Genomic DNA, 21,362 nt, shown 5'->3' with positions numbered 1-21,362 from the left:
TTAGTTTTGCTTACCTCTGTATACCTGGTATCCTAGGAGGGTGTGGGGGGCATATTAATGCTTAGCAAAAGTTGACAAATGAAGGGACCTCAAAAGTTCTTTCCTCCTTTGAATCTCTAAACCCGAGAGTCTGTTTTTGCATGGGACATCATCTTGTTCCATCAGGGAGCTGGCGATTTGGCTCCTGGGTCACTAAATCCAAACTTGTAGTTGATCACCCATGACTGGGTTCTCATTGACCTGCACGAAGAGTTGTTACTGGAATAAACACTGGATGCTAGAATGCCACCTGCTGCCTGAGATTTCATCAAAGAAAGGGCAACACGTTCCCTAGCTCTGAGCATCTCTAGGCCAATGGTGTTGCTCCCAGTCTACCTTGGGAGGCAAGTTCTGTTCTTCTCCTGGTATGAAAAGCCTGACGATGTGAGCTAGAGGCAATGGATTTGTGCAGACTTCTCACAAGGCTCCTGTGTTTGGCAGCCCAGTGGGGAAGACTGAGAATACAGGGAGGCCAGACAGAGAGCTCGTCCAGAAGCAGCCACACAAGTGGATTTATGTAGAGGGCTCCATTGTGTTCACACATTCATGTGCCAACTTGGAAGCAGATCTTCTGGGTGCTCCATGTTCGAGAGACAGCTTTGATCTCCAGGCTGTTGAGCTCAAGGTGGGAGACTCTGTTTTGCTTACTTTGTTCACACATTACACAGGTAGGCTTTGTTTGAGGAGCAGTGACTCACGCTCATGGGTTGTGTGAGCTTTGAAAGGAAGCCATGCGGCCCTGGCAGGTGCTCCCAGCTGTCCTCGTTTGCCATTGTCAGAAAAAAATCTTATTGTCATGGCGACAGATTTTTTTCTACCTAAAGCTTGAGTATGAATAGCCTTTTTTGATAGGTGATGAAGTGGGAGGAGAGGGGGTAGGTATCATGTATTAAAGGTGCCGTATGTCCTGTGGAAGTGTAGTTACTGTTGCCCCCATTTAACAGACAAGGATGCTGAGGCTCCCAGAGCTTATGTCAGTTGTCCAAAGTTACCGTGCTGGTCTGAGGTGGAGCTGGAACTTGATCTGCTTCCAACTGGACACGTGACTGCATCCATCCAGGCTTTAGCTGCAAGCTGGATCCTGTTTCTCTTGGAAAGTGCTAGAAGTCACAAATCAAATGGTTTTCACATTATATATTTATTTAGAGACAGAGTCTTACTCTGTCACCCAGGCTGGAGTACAGTGGCTTGATTGTGGCTCACTGCAGCTTCAACCTCTGGGGCTCAAGCAATCCTCCTTTCTCAGCCTCCTGAGTGGCTGGGACTATAGGCATGCACTACCACATCTGGCTAATTTTTTGATTTTTTTGTAGAGACAAGGTCTCCCTGTGTTACCCAGGCTGGTTCGTGAACTCCTGGGCTCAAACGATCCTCCAGCCTCCACCTCCCAAAGTGCTGGAGTCATAGGCATGAGCCTGGCCTCATAATACTTCTATCGCTATGATTCATCCTTCACTTCTTCCTCCTAGTAACCCACTGACAGCTTTAAAACAGTGCTTCTCCTTCCCTCTGCTCATAGAGGTGAGACATACATCCTTTCAGGAGTGTAGCTGGAAATAGACTCCTCCCTTCCCTACAGATGGGACAGTAAAGTCAATGTTAAGGTCATTAATACTAAGATCAGCTGAGAGGTTGGTTGACCAGTTTTCCCTGATGAGAAACTCTCATTCAGTGCTGCCAGGTTCTGGGCTTTTCCTCCAGCTCTGCCTCTTCTCTCTTGCTGTCCTCAGGTTTCTCTCTGCAGACGTTAAATCTGGTTTGGAGAGCTAGAAGTGATGTTCGTCCTTAAAACCAGTACGTTTGCCCACAGTACTGTCCTGACTGTATTTGCTTAGGAGATGTGCATGTCCAAAGCATGCGTCAGCATCACGGATTCCCCTATTGTTGAAATCCCATGAAGGATGCTGAAGTCAGGGCACGCTTAGTTGAAATTCTATCACATTTTCCACCTGTGATCGTTGGTGTTTAGAGGGATGATTCTGAGGGGCAGGGGGAAGGGGTGTCCCAGCATCCTTGATGAAGAAGGTGTGTGAGGTTGGCTGCACAGTGGGACAACGGAACAGCAGACGGATCCATTATCAGGGCATTCACTGGAAGTGTTGAGTTCAAGGGCTGTAACTTTCAGTTGACCAGGACATTGCTGTGCATACCTTATTCCTTGAGCTCAAAGTTGAGTTTTCAGAGCAGACCTATTGGTAGGCTCACTCTTCGGATGTTATGCTTGGAAAGCGGGAGTGCTGCCCCGGGCTGTACCTACATCACCTTCCAATGGGGTAGGGGGCCTTGTGAGAAAGCCTTGCCCCATCTGAGCTGCACGCGCATCAGCTGCCATGCACTCTGTCCTTTGCACAAAGAACCTCTTAATTGACATGATTGGGAGGGTAGAGAATGGAGCCTCTGTGTGGCCTTGAGGTTGGGGGGATGGGAGGATGGGAGCTGTATGTCTCATTCACTGGACTAGGTACACTGAATCTTTCATTCCTCCTTCCACATATTTCCCTCCCTTCTTGGCTTAAATCTTATGTCCATCTTAAAGAAATGGACTGGCTCCTTGGTTATATCTGTGTGGGCTGTGGTTGCATCTCTGCTTTGATGTTGCTGGATTTAATTATGGAAGATCCAATTCCCTTTTAACTTTTTTTCTCAGAAGTATAGAACTTGGGCTATGGTTTCCATTGGCTTAACTGAGATGACTTATGTGAAAGCTGTCGTATACTCTACTGTGCAATGCAAATCTAATGAATAACCAGCCCAGGAATCTCTGTTAGCTTGAGTGGACAGACAGGAGTGGAGTGGGGGCAGAGCAGAGGAGAGGAGTGGCAGCAAGGAGGTGCTTCCTCAGCGCTTCCTCCTTGGGGTCCAGAATGGGCTCTGGTCTCAACTGGTTTTTCCCTGTGACCTGCTGGGTGCTCCACTCCTTCTGGGCTGTGTCCTCCTCTTCTTCCTTCCTTATTCTCCCAATGCATGGTTAGGGATACCTGACTTGCAGCTGACATAGAATCCAGTATTCGTGTCCACTCTTAGCCCAAGTTATGCCTGAATAAACTCATCAGTGGGTTGAGTGCTAAGTCTGTTTTTGCAAACTTTTGTTTTTCATCCAATTTTTCTTTTCTTTAAACTTCCATAATACTGACAGCTATAATATCATATACTGCCATGATGGTTCCACATACATGGATCTTTTTTCTTCCGTATAGTCATAGGTGTGCACTCTGATTTCATAGCACCTGGCCTCATGCTGACTCTAGTAAAGACTTAATACAGCGGACCCTTGAACATTGCAAGGGTTAGGGATGCTGGTCCTCCGTGCAGCTGAAAATCCACATGTAACTTTGGACTTCCCTAAAACTTAACTGCTAATAGCCTCCCGTTGACTAGTAGTCTTACCAATAACATAGTCGATTAACACATATTTGGTAAGTTATATGTATTATATATTGATACAGTAGATATGTATTATATACTATCCTCTTACAATAAAGTGAGCTAGAGAAAACAATATTAAGAAAATCATAAAGAAGAGGAAATAGATTTACTATTCATTAAGTGGAAGGGGATCATCACAAAGGTCTTCCCCATCGTCATCTTCACAGTGAGTAGGCTTGGAGGGAGGAAGAGGAGGGGTTGGTCTTGCCGTCTCATGGGTGGCAGAGGCAGAAGAAAAACCACGTATCGGTAGATCCACACAGTTCAAACCTTGTTCAAGGCTCAACTGTATATACACGGCGACTCGGTGGGTTGAAGGCCCACACTGGTCTGCCATTTGATGTGGCTGTGGTGACAGTGGTGTCTGGTCAATGGGTTCTGGCTTAGTAGCCTAACCATATGGCATTGCAGAAGCAGCTTTCAGAAGATGGTATTGGTCTTTCCTTGGAGTGGTCCTGAGAATTGCAGACTTCTATCCCCTGTGGGTGGTTTTCTGTCCCCAGGAGTCCTGGTTTTTACCTAGTCTTGGCCTCCTAATTTGCCTCATGGCTTTGGGCTCATTACACCGCGTATTGGGGCCTCAGTTTCCTCTCTGTGTATCTCAGAACTACATGATTTCTTGATTACTTGGAGCAGGGAGGGTGTCTTTTTGTTTTGTTTGCCGTTTTCCACAGGTGACCTTGAGCAAGGTAGGTAAGGAGAGATGCCAGGTTGTTCTCAGTGGACACACGGCTTCCAGTTCTTTCTGCAATACAACTCGACTTCTTGGAGAAGAACTCAATTCAACATAAATGAAATCAAAATAGAAAACAGTCTTGCTGAGCAATCTTTAGAGAACATCATTTGTGATAGCTATAGCTGGGAATGTCTATTTTGTTGTGACCTTGTACCCAAATAAATTAGAGGAGTAATTGACCCTTTTTCTCCCTGAGGTTTGAGATAATTTTATTTATTTAAGGGCTTTAGGGCAGTCTGCTTGCCCCTTTCCAGAGGGGGACAGCTGGACTCAAAATGCCTTCAAAGGATCCATCTTTTAGGGCGCCGTGGCAGAGGCCCTTCACTTAGGTAAAAGTGAGATTCTTTCCTGCATGCTGGTGGGCTCCCATCCTGGATTTGGGAGCTGCAAAGCACACGTTGGTGGGAGATCCGGCTGGGAGGAGAATTCCGCTCTGCGGGGCTGCTGACCCACTTGTCACTCACTTGCTGTTAAGGCATAGAGACGCCTTGTTGTAACTGGAATTGTTCTGGGGAATGAGGAGTCCTCGCCACTCCCCCTTCTCCTTCCCGCCCTAACCTCCCTCCCCTCCCCTTAGGGGAAAAAAAAATTCCTTCCCCCTTTTCAGCATCTGTGTCTTTAAGAATTCCCTCCACTGTAGCCTCAGGACAGAGACCCTTCTGTGAGAGTGTGCTGGAGGCCTGTCCTTGGTGACACCCCGCCCCCCATATTAAAAGACCATTGGAACAAGCTCCCCATTCTCCTCTGGAGAGGGTCCCTCTGTCCCAGGCCAAGCGACTCTTAAGGGAGCGTTTATCCTGGGACACTCAGTTTACAAAGACTGCTGCAGTGTCAGATAAACTCACTCAGCCCTTCGAGGGGGGAGGGGGAGGAGAAGAACAAAACCCCCTTTATTTTCACCCCTGCAGGGAGACCAATAAAGACTTTGTGCTGGAGAGCGGGGGTCTGAGCAAACAGAAGAGGGGGGTCTGTGTGGTACTGATTTGGGGAGAGCATTATGAGTTATTATCTTATCATTTTATTTTTAGGGGAAATCTTAGCATGGGGCAGTGACTCTCGCATGAGTAAATGGTCCCAAATGACCTCCTCTCTCCTCTGCTGGCCACTGAGATGCTCTATGGCAAGTTTGTCTTGGTTTGCCAGAGAGAAGTCAGTCCCTGGTATTTTTTTCTGCCACCTATTTGGACAGGGAAATACTCACCCACTCCGCGGACTGGGCTCCAACAGTGTGTGTGTGTGTTAGACGATTTTTAGTCTAAGGGACTTTGGGTGGCTCTGCCTCATGGGATGCATTTGGTCATCTGTGTGTGTGCCCCTTTGGAGGGGGGTGTGCGGGGACCCTCCTGCCTCTGCAAGTGAGTGTCATCATCACTATCTGGAGTGGCCTTTACTGTGAATGGCCTCGAGTTGCCGTAGGTCATGTAAACCAGAGATGCCCTGTGGTTGGCCACTGGTGGGAGGAGGGATGGGATGAATGTTTGCCACTCAGTGCAGTGAGGTGTGTCAACATCTCACTTAATCCTATGAGGTCTTTGAGGAGGTAAATGGTCTCATCTTACCTGGAATGCAAGGCTCAGAGAGGGAAAGTGACTTACCTAATGTCTCCCAGAGGTGGGATGCTTGAAGTTCCAGCCCTGGGGTGTCTGATTCTAAAGGTCCTGCCTGCCGCAAAGCTGGAGGCCAGGTCGGGGGGCCCAGGGTGGCTAAAGGGGGTGGGCTGGGCTGAGGGTGGAGGTCACAGCAAGACGAAGGGCATTGCCAGGCCCTTGCCTTCCAGCAGCTGGTTAGGGTTTTGTCCTCATACCCCTGCCTTTCCCCCGGGCGCTGCTGGGGCTCTGGCACTCAGGCTCCGGTGAGGGATGGTGTGTGCTCCCGCTGGCCTGTGTCCCTTCTGGTTGTGTGTCTTTGGAGGGCTCAGTGCTCACCTCCAGGGAGGAGATGGCAGAGAAAGGCCAGAGTTTGTATAGCCCTTCACTCTGGGCTGGAAGGGAGGTGCCTGGCTGCTTCGGCAAACAAGCAAGATTTAGAAACCTGGCTGGAGCTGTGGTCAAGGGGGACCCTTCCCTGCTGGTGCCCTGGGGAGAGGAACCCTGATGCGGCTCCCAGCTGCCAATTCCTGACCCTTCTCCCATTTTCTTTCTCCCTGGAGGAGTGTTGGGCCATGGGGATTGATCTGTGTGTGTGCTGGGGGAGGAGATTGGAGAGGGACTGGCCCCCTGGGTCCCACCTCTGTGCAGCCCAGCTCTGCCTACTTCAGTTCCAAGTGTAAGGGGCCTGGAGAAGGGAGGGTGGGAGTCTGTGCTGTGGCAGGCGAGAAGGGCCTTCCCAGGCCAGCTTTACGGCTGAGTTCAGAGTTCTTGTTCACAGAGCACAGCTGCGGGGGCTGTCAGGGGCATGGACTCCCTCTATGGGCAGGAGGATATGGGCCTTTCCCCAGTCTGGCTGAGCCCACCTTATCCCATTGGAGGACTTGAGGTCCTTCCAATAAGGCCCTGCCTATAGAGTGTGAACCGGGACCATCCGAGGGGGTGATGAGATTCATCCTAAAACAATATAGAGTGGTGGAGGAGAGATGTTGGTGAAACTTGACCTCTTGCAGAAAGGGGAAGATTCTGGGCTCTGTACATGGACAACCTGCAGGAGGAAGGGGGACCCAGTCTCTGAAGCACAGTGCACTACCGAGAAAAGATGCTTCCCTGTCCGTGCAGGCACCTGGGTGCAGCAGAACAGGTACGAGGAAGAGTGGTTTGGGGAATTCAGGATGTAGCTTAAAGGGGGCTGAGTGGGAAACAAGGCATGTTCCATTCCAGTTACGTGCAGCCACAGGCACCAGTGACATGGCACAAAGGAGGGTTAAGCTGGAAGGTTTTGGGGGACAGGGAAGAGCAAATGAGAGAAGCCAGAGGTCTCGATGCCTTGGTGTGGTGGAGGCAGCAGAGGGCAATGGGGATGGGAGCGTGAGATGGGTGGTGGTGACACTAGACTTATTGGAGAAACAGCAGCAGCCCCATCTCCGATAGTTAGAGGGTGGGCTCCTGGACTGGACCAAGAGAAGGATTGACTGACTCTGTCGAGGTCCCTGCCAAGCATGGGATCCAGAATAATCCCCATGGACACTTAGAGCAGACGATGTCCACCCAATGGGGCCGACAGCAGATGGGATGGATGGGGAGGGTTCTCACTGCCAGTTCTCCCCACAATCCCTCCAATCCCAGCCACTCCTGGCAGGTGGCTGCCTCTACAGGTGTGTGCTGGCCATTTCCTTACCTTTCCATTCTGAGAACCCTCATTTCCTACAGGTGAGTGTTCAGGACCCACTTATGGCATTCTATAGAGGTTCAGTCCCGTCAGCAATAGATTGGTGATCTACAGGAGGAGGATGAGAGGGCACTGGATCCAGGGTCAGAGAATTTGAGTCTCAGTCATAGCCTCTTATTTCTCAGATCAATGATTACTTACTTATTTAATAAGAATTAATTTATTTTAGAGACAGGGTCTCACTCTGTTGCCCAGGCTGGAGTGCAGTGGTACGATCTCCACTCACTGCAGCCTCGACCTTCTGGGCTCAAGTGATCCTCCCACGTCAGCCTCCCGAGTAGCTGGGACCACAGGCATGCACCACCATGCCTGACTAATTTTTAATTTTTTTGTAGAGATGGGATCTCTCTCTGTTGCCCAGGCTGGCCTCAAACTTGTGGGCTCAAGTGATCCTCCCACCTCGGCCTCTTGGGATTATAGGCATGAGCCACTGCACCTGACTGATGATGTTGAGCAAGTTTCTCTATTTCTCTGTGCCTTTGTTTATGTCATAGGCAAAATACCAGGGATGAGTATTCTGAGGTGCTCTCCGGCTCTGTAAATAAACAACCACATGCTGTAGGCTGTACATGCCTGTGTCCTTATGAGGGTTTGGGGAGGCACGTGGACTTGTCTCCTGGTTCTTCATTTGCACCTCCCTGTGGCTCAGCTCAATACCCCCCTGGTTATAAGTCATTCTGACTCTTTGCCCTTGCCTGGAGGAGGATGGGACTCTTGCAGTGGTGGCAGTGAAAACTTGGAGAGTGTGTTGCCCCTTACAACCTCATCGAGGGCAGCAGGGGACAGGCAGAGTCAGGTTGGGTTCAGAAGTCATGAGGCCCAGAGGTGACTGCTTCCCCCCAACATCAGCCCCAAGGGGTGGCTCATGAGCAGCAGTGCTGAAGGCGAGGTCTGGGCTTGGATCAGTTGGTCGGTGCAGAGGTTGGCGGCTGCTGTCTCTTTCTGGTTTATTTCACCCCCGACAAAAGCTAGAGGCTCTGGGGAAATTGGTTTGCAGATTCATGAGCTCTGCAAGGTCAGAGCAATCCACCAGTCCCCGTCTGGACAGGATGACACACGTTTCTTGTTGCTCCTGCACACGGGTGCATCTGCATCCCACATCCAAATACTTTGGCAGAGCAAGCCCTTCTTATGAGTGATCAGCCTTCCTCGTGCGCCAGCAATCCCCTCCCAGAGCACATCTGAAGAACCTCATCAACTTGACCAGTGGGAAAAATTCAGTCTTTCCTGGCTTAACCCATTTATGCCTGAGGCTGCCATTTTTTTGAATTTCAAAAATCAGGCCTTGGTGATGACCTTGAGCAGTAGGATATAAATAACACCTACATGCTTAGCGTTCCAATAATGGAACCCTAGGCATAAATGGCTACCCCCTTTTCTATCCCTTTCATCGTTGACTTTTTCAAGGGGTGAGGAGAAACCTTCTTGATGAAAGATGTGTTTTGAAAAACTTACTGAACATCCTTCTGTTTTATCATCAGCACTGTTAATCGCCACCTTAGTATGTTCCCTTCAATTCTAGACCTGAGCCAGAGGAAGAGGCTGGGACTGTTTAAATTGGCCACCTATGATGCTGCCTCTCTCCGGGTGGAATCTTCACCTGATAACATGTGGAGGGGGGAGGCCCCTTCAGACAGACAGGTTTCTCTCTCGCCTGTTCTTTCATAGCAGAGGGAGCCGCTTAGCACAAGGGACACTTTAGATGATCCTAGGGGGATGGGAGGGCTAGTGAGTTAGTGGCAGGAGGTGGGGAGCGATGTCATTTATTAGGTCTATGAAAACAATACAGGGTTTGTCTCCTGGGTGCAGTGGTGCCCGGGGGGGCAAAGCCAAGATGGGGCTGAGTAGAAAGAAAACAAGCACAGGTCTGACGAAAATGTGGTGACCCCGAGGAGCTGGGGAAAAAAGCACCTTTGTTTAGGGAGGTCAGGGCAATGGGAGGCATTTGAGGAGGACTCTGGGAGATTTGCTGCCTCTATTCTGGGAACCTGGGCCCCGAAAAGAGGCTTGAGAAGACCAAGGAACCGAGGCTGATGGAAGTTTCCAGGGTGGCTGATCCAGCTGCTGTGCATTTCTGGGGCAGGTTTAAGGTTTAGAGGAGCCACTTCCTTATCAGCCCTGTTCCTTGAGGGTGGCCCGAGAGAGGATCACACTGGAGTGTCCAGGGGGTGGGGAGGGAGGATGATGGAGGGGACTGTTCTGATGTGGGGGCTCCTGATGGGCTATGGTTTTGCTTCCTGCTAAGGCTGCCTGGATGATCTGGCCCTGGGGCAGGGAAGCCCCAAGAGCCTTGAGTCAGGCCCCATGAAATGTGGGGTGAAGGCACTCACGGGGTATGGTGCCCAGGACCCCCTCCCCTGGTCACACTGTATCCATGGGCGAAGGCATTCACAGGTGCAGTGCCCAGGAGCCCTTCCCCTGGTCACCATGGACCCTGCAAGTGAGTGGAGGCTGCATGAGGAGGCAGACACCTTCCTGCTGGAGTGCTTCCTTCCTGAGACCCTCAGAGACCACCTTCTGAAAACACCCCACATTTTCACTTGGCCCCTGCTGTCCCCTGTGGATGTGTGTCCCCAAACCCAGGGACTCACTTTTACTTCTTTTTTATCAGAAGGGCTTATAGGTGTGTGTGTGTATGTGTGCTGTGTGTGCTGGGATGGTCTTGGAACGCGGAGTGTGCCCATCGGTGCCTGCCACTTGTCTCTCTCTCTCTTTTTTTTTTTTTGAGACGGAGTTTTGCTCTTGTCACCCAGGCTGGAGTGCAATGGCACAACCTCCGCTCACTGCAACCCCCACCTCCCAGGTTCAAGTGATTCTCCTGCCTCAGCCTCCCGAGTAGCTGGGATTACAGGTGCCCGCCACCATGCCCGGCTGATTTTTTTGTATTTTTAGTAGAGACGGGGTTTCACCATGTTGGCCAGGCTGGTCTTGAACTCCTGACCTCAGGTGATCCACCTGCCTCAGCCTCCCAAAGTGCTGGGATTACAGGTGTGAGCCACTGTGCCCGGTCCACTTGTCTCTTTTTGGCAGAAACGCTGCCCTCATTGGCCGAAGCCTGGAGTCCTTGGTGAATTTTTCCTTGGTCACATGATATACACTGATAAGGACTGCGCCAGGCATGGCACCCGAGGGAAGAGTGGCACCCCCACCTTTGGTGAGGTTCTCCATGCAGGACGGTGCCCTGAGTGGTGTAGGAGGCCCTGTGCCGGGTGAGCCTGCCAGCAGGAGTCATCGGACAATGTGGTTGCCAGGTGTGGCCGCTCAGCTCCGACCAACTCCGAACCTGTGTGGTCAGAATCACACAGGACAAACCAGGGGCCTGTTTAGCCCCTTCAGGCTGCCTCTGATGGGAGAGAGGCTGGATGCATATTCTGAGAAAGTGGTTCTGTGTTATTGAGGTTGTTATGACCTAGGCTACAGTTGAAAGTCATCTCTAAGCACTTATAGTAGTATTTGCTAATCACAGTATTGCTAACACAATAGCCCATTCTGTGTTCCAAGCACTATCCCACCAACACACGGCTCACGTACAGACACACACGCACACATACGACACTCATTTTTTTTTTTTTTTTGAGATTGAGTCTCACTCTGTCACTCTGTCACCCAGGCTGGAGTGCAGTGGCGCAATCTGGGCTCACTACAACCTCCGCCTCCTGGGTTCAAGTGATTCTCATGCCTCAGCCTCCCGAATAGCTGGGATTACAGGCGCCCGCCACCACGCCCAGCTAGTTTTTGTGTTTTTAGTAGAGACGATGTTTTACCGTGTTGGCCAGGCTGGTCTTGAACTCCTGATCTCAAGTGATCAGCCCGCCTCGGCCTCCCAAAGTGCTGGGATTATAGGTGTGAACCACGGTGCCCGGCCCTACAACACTCATTTATTCCTCGCAAGGACCCTAAGAGGTAGGCATTATTATTATCTCTAATTTACAGATGAGGAAACTGAGAGAGGGCAAATGACCTGTCACAGAGCACACAGCTATTAAATGGGCCACTCAGCCCCAAACCCAAGCCCTTGGCTCCAGGCTGTGCTCTCACACAAGGCAATGTTGCCTGTGACCATGCAGGGCTGCTCTGGGCCCCACGTTCCGTGGTCTCGCAGGTGTTCTGTACCTGCCAGGGTTCGCTGTTGGGATCCTGTTTCACAGTGGCAGAGGGGAGGCCTACAGAGTCAAATGACTTGGCTCAAGGTCACCCTCTGCCTGGCTTGGCTGCATCAGCTCTGCAGCCGGGGACTCCCTTCCACAGCCTAGTGGTGTGGTCCCTGCTACCTGTAAGTGTGCCATCTTGCCAGTTTCTAGACCATCCAAGTTGCATTTTGTTGCATTTGCAGGAGAGCCTGGAGAAGTCAGCAGATCCATCCTCATTTCCCAGCCCAGAGGGTGGTGGTCTAAGGGGGCTGTTCTTCCCGGTCTGGGGAGGGGGCTCTGTGCGCTGCTGCTTCTCCCCTCTCCCGGGCGGCTCAGGCCCCACGGCCTCCCTCCCCAGCTGGCCGTATTGACTCTGGCCGCCCGCCAGCCCCTCCTCCTGGGCATTGTACCACCGGCTGATGCGATTTTCCTTTTCCTTTTTTCCCCACCTCATTTTTCATGTATGATGACCCTGGAGGTTTGTTTTCAACATCAGGCTCACGAAGACAGCCCACTTAGGCTAAGACAGATGCCAGTGGGACCTTTTTCTTCCCTGAAGGAAACGGCCCTTATCTTCCCTATTAACTGTTCGGGGTCTGAGCCCCTTAGCTGGGGCCTCCCGCATTGTTTCCGAGGGGGACTCAGAGCCGAGGAGGGAGGAAGGAGAGTAGATGTTGCCCTGGGCTAGGCTTGCCATCTTGAGCTGTGGAGTCTGGGAGGTTGTCTTTTCTCTTTTTTCTTTTTCTTTTTTCTTTTTTTTTGAGACAGAGTTTTGCTCTTATTGCCCAGGCTGGAGTACAGTGTCGCGATCTTGGCTCACTGCAGACTCTGCCTCCTGGGTTCAAGCGATTCTCCTGCCTCAGCCTCCCAAGTAGATGAGATTATAGGCACCCGCCACCATGTCCAGCTAATTTTTTGTATTTTTAGTAGAGATGGGGTTTCGCCATGTTGGCCAGGCTGGTTTCGAACTCCTGGCCTCAGGTGATCCACCTGCTTTGGCCTCCCAAAATGCTAGGATTACAGGCGTGAGCCACCGTGCCCGGCCGGGAGGTTTTCTTAGGGAGATGGAAACACTGTCTGCCAGGCGGTCTCTTCAGGCCCCTTTGCGGTCAGTGCTCCTTCTGCAATGCACACTTTGCTTTTTGTTAGGGTGTTCTCCATCCTGAATGCTCTTCCTCTTCCTCTTGCCCACCCATGCGTGGCTCTTCCTCCTCAGGGAGGCCATCACCTAAGGGTGACTGAGCACCTGCTGTGCACCAGGCTCTGTGACACTCAGAAGTTCAAGATTAGCCTGGGCAACATGGCGAAACCCCATCCCTACTAAAAATTAGCCCAGGCTGGTCTTGAACTTCTGACCTCAGGTGATCTGCCCGCCTTGGCCTCCCAAAGTGCTGGGATTACAGGCGTGAGCCACCGCGCCTGGCCTGATCAGCTTTCTGTCTCTATAAATGTGCCCTTTCTGGAGATTCCATAGAAATGGAATCATACGTGTAGTCTTTTGCGTCTGGCTTCTTTCGCTTAGTATAATGCTTCTGAGAAAGTGACCGTCACCAACTTCTCATGGAGCCTTCTCTGTGTGTCCAGACTGTTGCATTCTTGGTAGTGAATGGGTTAACCAGAAACAAAGGTGAGGCTCCTGTGTGTGTGAGGGGGACTGCCCTTGGGGGGGTCTTCAGCCCTTCCTGCCCAGGCCCCTGACCAGGCTTTTCACCCTGCCTGCCAGTTTTGAAGGACCTGGCCTCCTCCTTCCGGCTGTTGTAGCTTAATTAAGTTATAATGACAGACAGAGAAGGGTTGTTTCCTGGCAATTAAAGTAAGTGGAAGGTTGGAACATGGTCCAGCCCTCCTCCCGGCCAGGAAGGACTGGACTCTCCCCTCTCATTGTTCCTACCCACGCCAACCCCCTAGATGGGTTCTGGGGTGTGTTGGCAGGGGGGTGTTGGGAAGTTCCCTCCCCTCCCCAAGGCTTCCCATGCTGTGGCTGATTTTTCTCTTCCCCAGCTGATTTTGTAGGCTATTGGTTATGAAAAATGAGATATGCATTCATCTAATTTTGAGGCTTCCTCCTGACCATCCCAACCTCAGTCGAAGGAGACAGGAAGGGAGAAGCCACCTATTCATTCAGCAAACCCATATCGAAGGTCTGATGTAGGCAGAGGAGGAGAAAGTGAAATTGACATAGCCCCAGGCATCCAGGGGCTCATAGCCAGGAGTTGGGAGAGAAGGTGTGAGATAAACAATCCAGCGATTCACTAACGAGAACAGAATGAATGGACCACAGCTCCCAGATAGGGAAGACCATGGTGGTGCATGAGATGATCAAGAAGGTAGATGTGGAACCTTGAGGGACAGCTGTGGGGAGGGAGGAAGGGAGCCTCAGAAGAGAGGACTAAGGCTTGGGCGGAAGAGTGAACAAGGGTTGCTGGGGTGCAGTGCGGGACTACAGCCATGGTGTGGCCAGAGAAGCTGGAAAGCTCAGCTTGGGGCAGGCAGTGTTTAGATCACCCGTCGGAGGCTGCAGGGGCAGTGCCTGCTCATAACCCATGGTCAGGGGCAGGAGGAAGATGGCAGGAGATGCTGATTCCACACTGTAGGTTGATTTGACAACGGGGCTTTGGTTAAGCAGGCTAGACCCTTGAACGTGGAGATGCAATGATGTTCTCTGCTGCCATCCACTGAGGTCCTCTGAGAAGTTTCTCTTTCGATTTTATATTGCTATTGGAGGTATATTTGTTATTCCAAACAACTTTGCATTTAAAAAAGCCTGTTGTGCATTTACACATTTGACGATCTCTTTTATCTCTGGTCTGTATTTGAGTTTTGCAGAGTCATGATCTTAGAGCCTGTCATGTATTTACACATTTGACAATCTCTTTTATCCCTGGTCTGTATTTGAGTTTTGCAGAGTCATGATCTTAGAGCATGCAGTTTGATTCCCACCATTTAACTTAATCTTTTTGTTTTTGTTTTTCCTCATGCCTGTGTCCTTGTCTTTGTGTTGATTTTGAATGCCTGTACACTATGCTGCAAAGCAAATATAATTTGCTTAAGATTGCTATTGAGGAGTAGGAGAATGTTAACTTTTAGTTTAATCTTATGTAAGTAATACCATGAAACTTCTTTTTCCCTTCCATTTTTATCTTTCGGCCAAACTGGGGGTTTTTGTAACAGGACAAAAGCCATACCGGACAGCGGTGTAGTGAGTGAATTCTTTAGCCAATGAGTCTCAAGGGTGGCCGGGTACCCTGACTAACAGGGTAGCAGGGCTTGGCCATGAAACTGTCCTGGTGCAAGGAACTGGGGCTGTGCTGGTGAACTCCTGGCCTCTGATCTCTTCTCTTCCTCCACTCTCAAACTCCACATCCTGGAAATCCTTGAAGACTCTTCCATTCTGCTCTTGGACCTGCCTGGCACATGGCTGCTGCTTATGGATGATTTGTTCCCTTGAGTGGACTTCCAGGCTCGAGTTCCAGTGAAGAATTTTTGGGAGATACTCAAAGGAGAAACGAATCTCTAGGCTTGCCCAGTGGCCCTGGGGCACCCTCTTTCCACGCCATCCTCCATCCCCAGCGATGCTTGGCTGTAGTCCATCTTCCTCTTCTCTGCCCCTGCATTTCCATCCCAGGAGGACCACTGGGCACAAGGAACATCAGAAACCAGGGAGCAGTGTGCATTGGGATTCCTTCCAGACGCTGAGAGCTGAGAAGTCGTCCCCCTTTCATAACCTTGCTCAGGCTCAGGAGGTCTCAGTGTTAAGCAAACAGCCCTTGAAAGAGAAAAGCCACATTGTCCTCCCCATGCTGATGGCCTGGCCTCAAGAGCCACCAGTTGCTCTGACTTGAGAATGGTTAAGTGGAACTGCCGAGTGTTTGTGTGTGTGCGTGTGCACACGAACACACGTGTGGTGGACGGCCCAGCTCTTATTCCAAGAGCTCTTCTTCTTTTTTTTTTTTTTGTTTTTGAGAGGGAGTCTCACTCTGTTGCTCAGGCTGGAGTGCAGTGGCATGATCTCGGCTCACTGCAACCTCCGCCTCCCGGGTTCAAGTGATTCTTCTGCCTCAGTCTCCCAAGTAGCTGGGATTACAGGTGCCCGCCTCCATGCCCAGCTAATTTTTTGTATTTTTAGTAGACACGGGGTTTCACCGTGTTGGCCAGGCTGGTCTCGAACTCCTGACCTCAAGTGATCCACCCATCTCGGCCTCCCAAAGTGCTGGGATTACAGGCGTGAGCCACTGTGCCTGGCCCAAGTAATTGCTTCTGTAAAGGGAGAGAGGGGACGGGAAACATCAGGGAGGTACGCAAGTTGCAAATGCATAATGCTAAGGCTGTTATGGTGGTCTTGGTGTGAAAACAGTGGTAGAAAATTTGAAAAGTTGACAGAGGCCTAGAGATGAAATACATTTGTTATCTTCTTGAAGCTCTGGACCAGATGTTCATATCGCGTTGGCAGGATGGAACCATTCCATGGATATTCTACGTATCTTCCTTCTTTCACTTTATAATAAGACCAATTTTCTATGTTGCAGCCTACATTGATAATTATCTTCAATGGTGCTTGAGGGCCAGTGAGTCAGTGGGCCATTGTTTCCTTAACCAGTCCTTAACTCTTGGCCTTTGAGTTCCAGTTTTTCACCACAGATTGCACTTTTGTGCCTTGCTTTTTTTTTTTGTTTTTGTTTTTTTTTTTTTTTTGAGATGGAGTCTCACTCTTTCGCCCAGGCTGGAGTGCAGTGGCACTATCTCGGCTCACTGCAAGCTCCACCTCCCGGGTTCACGCCATTCTCCTGCCTCAGCCTCCCGAGTAGCTGGGACTACAGGTGCCCGCCATCACACCCGGCTAATTTTTTTCTTTTTTTGTATTTTTAGTAGAGATGGGGTTTCACCGTGTTAGTCAAGATGGTCTCGATCTCCTGACCTCGTGATCCGCCCACCTCGGCCTCCCAAAGTGCTGGGATTACAGGCATGAGCCACCGCGTCCGGCCTTTTTTTTTTTTTTTTTTTTTTTTTTTTAAAAAAAAGGAACATCTGAAGTGACTTGAGTCTCTGATCTGGCAGTCATAACCCTTATCCCGTTCCTTGAGCCCCAGGGAGGTTGGGAGAGGGGGAAAAAAAACAACTGTGCTATCCATTCTGGGTCCTCTTAGCCAGGGGTGTGGAGGCTGGGGAGTGAAGGGCGTCTATGGGATTGGTCAGTGGGCAGCGGCTTCCAGCTGTGGCGAGGGAGGTGTCAGCTTGCTGCTCTTGCTGTGGGTCTCACACTCTTCCTCCATCCATCCCCCTGAGCTTCGAAGAAGAGCTCTTATTATTAAAGCTGTCCTTGAAAAACTCTCTGCTTCTTGGGCATTGAGGAGCAGGTCCAAATGGGTCATCTTCTCCCTACCTTCTCCCTGTCTGTCTTCTCCCATCTGTGTCTTAGCCTTTCCTTCTTCTCTCCATACCTGCCCTTGGTGGGTTGTTTACCCCAGTTTCTCATCTTTTCTCATGAAGGAGGAGGAAGCACCCAGCAGCTGGCGTTTGCCAGAGCTGCAGGTAAAAGGGACCAGGTTACCACCAAGACAGGAGAGACGGGGCTTTCCAGGCAGAAATCCCTGAATCCCCTGGTCTAAGTGCTGAGTAAGCACTCGACTCCCTGGGGCCCTGAATGATGGAAGAGAGGGAGACTATTAGGGCTGACGCCAGACAGAATGCACGCTCGCAGGTGGATCTGACTTTTTGTGTTTTGTGGTTTAAAAATGTGCTTGCCTTCTGTAATCCCAGCACTTTGGGAGGCCAAGGTGGGAGGATCACTTGAGGTCAGGAGTTCGAGACCAGCCTGGCCAACATGGTGAAACCCCGTCTCTACTGAAAATATGAAAAAATAGCCAGACGTGCATGCATGCTCATGTGCACACATATGCACACCCCCCACCTTGCCTTTTATAGAGCCATGAGGCAGCAGATTCAACCGAATACCATGTAGCATGAGCCACAGACGTGTATGGGAACATTTATGAACGCTTGCCTATAATCCCAGCTACTTGGGAGGCTGAGGCAGGAGAATCACTTGAACCCGGGAGGCAGAGGTTGCAATAAGTCGAGATCACACTATTGCGCTCCAGCCCGGGTGATGGAGTGAGACTCTGTCTCAAAATAAATAAATTAATAGGTGGGGCGTGGTGGCTCACACCTGTAATCCCAGCACTTTGGGAGGCCAAGGCGGGTGGATCACGAGGTCAGGAGTTCGAGACCAGCCTGGCCCAATATGATGAAACCCTCGTCTCTACTAAAAATACAAAAATCACCCGGACATGGTGGTGAGCGTCTGTAATCCCAGCTACTCAGGAGGTTGAGGCAGAAGAATCGCTTGAACCCAGGAGGCAGAGGTTGCAGTGAACCGAGATGGCGCCAACTGCACTCCAGCCTGGTGACAGAGCGAGACTCCGTCTCAAAAAAAAAACAAAACAAAAATAAATAATAAAAAAGCGTGTGCCTGCTCATTTTCAGTTCTCAGCACCCACATCTCTTACCTAGGTGAGTGCTTGGAGCTGAGGTTTGTTAACATAAGTCATAGAGGTTTCAGCTTTCCTTTATTAGCACTTTCATGCCCCTAAGGGGAGAAAAACCAATGGAAGGTAGCAGGCAGTGTGTGTGTGGGGGGCATTATTCAGCCATAGAAAGGACCAAAGCATGGACATGTGCTACCAACATGGAGGTACCTTGAAAACCTGAGGCTGAGAGGAGCCAGACACAAAAGGCCCCCTGTTGCACATCCCATTGCTATGAAATGTCCAGGATAGGCAAACCCACAGAGACAGGAAGGAGCTTAGTGGCTGGCAGGGGCTGGGCTGGGGTCAGGGAGTGGACAGTGGCTGATGAATGGGGTGGAGTTTCCTTTCAGAGGGGCTGATAGTGCTCTGGACCTAGATGGTGGTGATGCTTGCACGACACTGTGAATGTGCTGTCATCGTACACTTGAAACAGGTTAAAATGCCGAGTTGCGTGGTATGTGCATATTACCATAGTCAATAGAAATGGAAGGAAATGCAGTGGAGTCTTGCACTAGGGTTTGTCTCAGGAGAACGGGGAGAGTTGCATCTTCCTGGTTTTCTGCTGTTACCCAGCTCTCCACGCCCATTCCTGCCTGGCCCCGGGGTTGGATAAGAACCTTTCCTAAGTGGACAGAGTTCTTAGGGTCTCATTGCAGCTGGAAGCACCTTGGGCCATGTAGCTGTGCTCTGGCAGGTGCAGTAACTCCCCTCTCAGGGCCCACGAGAAGGGGCATCTGGCTTTGGGGGGCTGTCTATGGTGCGGTTGTCAGTGTACCTCGGCTGTCCCAGCTCAGGAGTTCTGGAAACTTCCCGGGCCACTCTAGCCATTCTGACTTTTGCAGGTTCTGGGCAACTTTGCCCTCTTGGATCCCTTCCTACTTAAAAAATATATTAAAAATGTCAAATATTATGATATATTAAAACATTTTTTTTACCTAAAAGCATGTGTTCTATTTTTTTTTCCCCTGATTTTAAAAGAAGTTAAAACATTTTCATGGGCCCTTCAGAGTATGGCGGGCGCTGGTTTGTGCCTCATGGATGGTCTGATGGGGACGTCAGCCTGGGGCTGTGTTGTCCTGGATCTGTGTGTCCCAAGAACCTCCTCCTGGTTGGTTCCATATTCATGGGCCTCCCTGACCTTCCTCCAAAACAGCTGCAGGGTGGCAGAATCTGCCCTGGTCACCGAGACTGAGCCCTTCAGTCTGAGATAAAAAGTCCCCAAAGAAGGGTTACAGCTCACCCCCAGGAGCTCAGCCCCATGAGCCCTCTCCCCACCACCATGCCCAGTGGGTCTCATGAAGACACCCATGCAAGTGGTCATGGGAAAGAGGACTCCCCCATACCTTGCTCCAGCACGGACCTTGCTCCAGCACCGGCCCTGCTCAGCCAGATTTTCAGAACGAGAGGGATATTCTCATCTGTGGCAAAGAATATTCTCTATATTCTGTATACATCATTTGAGACTTAAATGGGTTTCAACAGATCCATTCTTCTTGTAGATGTAGGAAAGTTTGACATATGATTGTTCTCTGCCAAATAGCCATGTTCGCGGGATTCCTTTTGATGGAAATTATTTATTAGGACAAAAAGGGAATAAGTGCAAAAAACTTGAGCAAGACTAGAAACAAAATAATTGATGGCTGCCTCTGTGGTGCCATTTTTGGATGATGGCTGTGTCTGGGGAGTCAGGCTGGGTGTCTGGGAGGGCCACACTCCCTGTGAGCTCCGGGACAGGTAGGTTGCCTGGAGGTTTCCTTTCTGGTGTCACCCTGTAAGCGTCTGTGGATTTGTGCAGGGTGCCTTGTCTCTCCCTTGCATTTTCCCGGTGGGTCTGGGGCAGGACACGGCTGGGGACAGGGGTAGAGGACTGGCCACTGTGGCCAGAATGAGGTGCAGGGAGGGACAGGCAGGTCCCTCATGGCCCATAGTGCCTCTAGGGGGTGCATAAATGCATATATATGTGCACATACACACGTGCATGCATACTCATGCGTACATATACACAGCCCCCCACCTTGCCTTTTACAGAGCCATGAAGCAGCAGATGCAACCGAATACTGTGCAGCATGAGCCACAGACGTTTACGGGAAGAACCGGCAGGAGGCGCCGGGAAACTAAAGGGCTCCAGCTCTCTGAGTGGTGGCTTTGCCATTGTGGCTGTGCGAGCTCAGCCTCCTGGAAACCCGCCCTGAGCTTGGTTAACAGCATTCACTCCAGGTTTAGCCCAGCTCCAGGTTATCGCAGGCAGGACTCCCGAGAACAGGTTCATGTTTGCTTTTTGGGAGGTGCTGCGCTAAAGTGGAAAACCACCCTGGGCCGAGTGGGACCTCCCCAGCTGGGCGGCTGTTAACCAGCCAGGATGTCTGACCCTGAGAAGTCACCGTGCACTCTTGGGACTCATTTTTCTCATCAGCAGGATGGGGTGATGGAGCTGGCCTTACTGGGTGCTGGGGATGATATAAAGAGGTGGCGTGTGCATGTCTGTGTGTCTGTGTGTGGGCGAACATGTTTGGTAAGTGATAGGCTCTGCACACGTGCACGGCACCATCATGGTTCCCTCCCTGCAGCACTTGGCACGCAGTGGGGGCTCAGAGCACAGGCCGACTGATGGCCTGGGGTTGCAGCCCTGCTCCGTGTGTCCCTGGGCACTTGCTTACTGACCACCCCACAGGTGAACACGGGCAGGTGGGTGTTTGGAGGTGTGAGGCTGAGGAGGGTCTGGATCTTGCAGCTCTTGCAGCCTGGATAGTTATGGGGTCTGGAGGGGGCTTTTATTGCGCCTGGTGCTTCCTGCTCAGGGCCAAGTCTGGGGCTGCCTGACTCTTGGGCTCTGGTGCCCTCTAGTGTTCAGGTTATATTATTGCAGGTGCAGGCCATGTACACATTTACCAGCAGCCTAACTGGGTCTCCCTTCTCTCACCCCAATCCGACATGGATGGAAATAGCTTTAGAAAACTCACATGTCTTTGGCAGACTATTGAACATACCTGGTCTATCGCCAAAAGGACTTAAGGCATTTAATTTAAAATGTTATTTTCATAAGTAAAGGAAATAAAGGCTGGGCGCGGTGGCTCATGGCTGTAATTCCAACACGTTGGGAGGCCCAGGTAGGAGGATCCCCTGAGCCCACAAGTTTGAGACCAGCCTGGGCAGCATAGTGAGGCCCTATCTTTTCAAAAAACAAAT

At 50.8% G+C, this 21,362-nt stretch overlaps 1 long non-coding RNA gene across 5 annotated transcripts in view, besides 1 other annotated feature; it reads left to right on the top strand.

Moving 5' to 3' along the window:
* Nucleotides 1-21,362, top strand: part of LINC00673 (long intergenic non-protein coding RNA 673) — a 189,483-nt gene that overhangs the window by 11,386 nt on the left and 156,735 nt on the right. The window lies entirely within an intron of this gene.
* Nucleotides 9,175-9,469: a silencer, noted in NCBI's record as "tiled region #2461; K562 Repressive non-DNase unmatched - State 22:ReprW". NCBI's record gives its function as "represses a minimal TATA promoter and a strong SV40 promoter by Sharpr-MPRA in K562 cells {active_cell/tissue: K562}" and the evidence as "EXISTENCE:reporter gene assay evidence [ECO:0000049][PMID:27701403]".

The sequence above is a fragment of the Homo sapiens genome, chromosome 17 (assembly GCF_000001405.40).
Source record: "Homo sapiens chromosome 17, GRCh38.p14 Primary Assembly".
NCBI lineage: Eukaryota > Metazoa > Chordata > Mammalia > Primates > Hominidae > Homo > Homo sapiens.
This window is presented reverse-complemented; position numbering and strand designations above follow the sequence as displayed.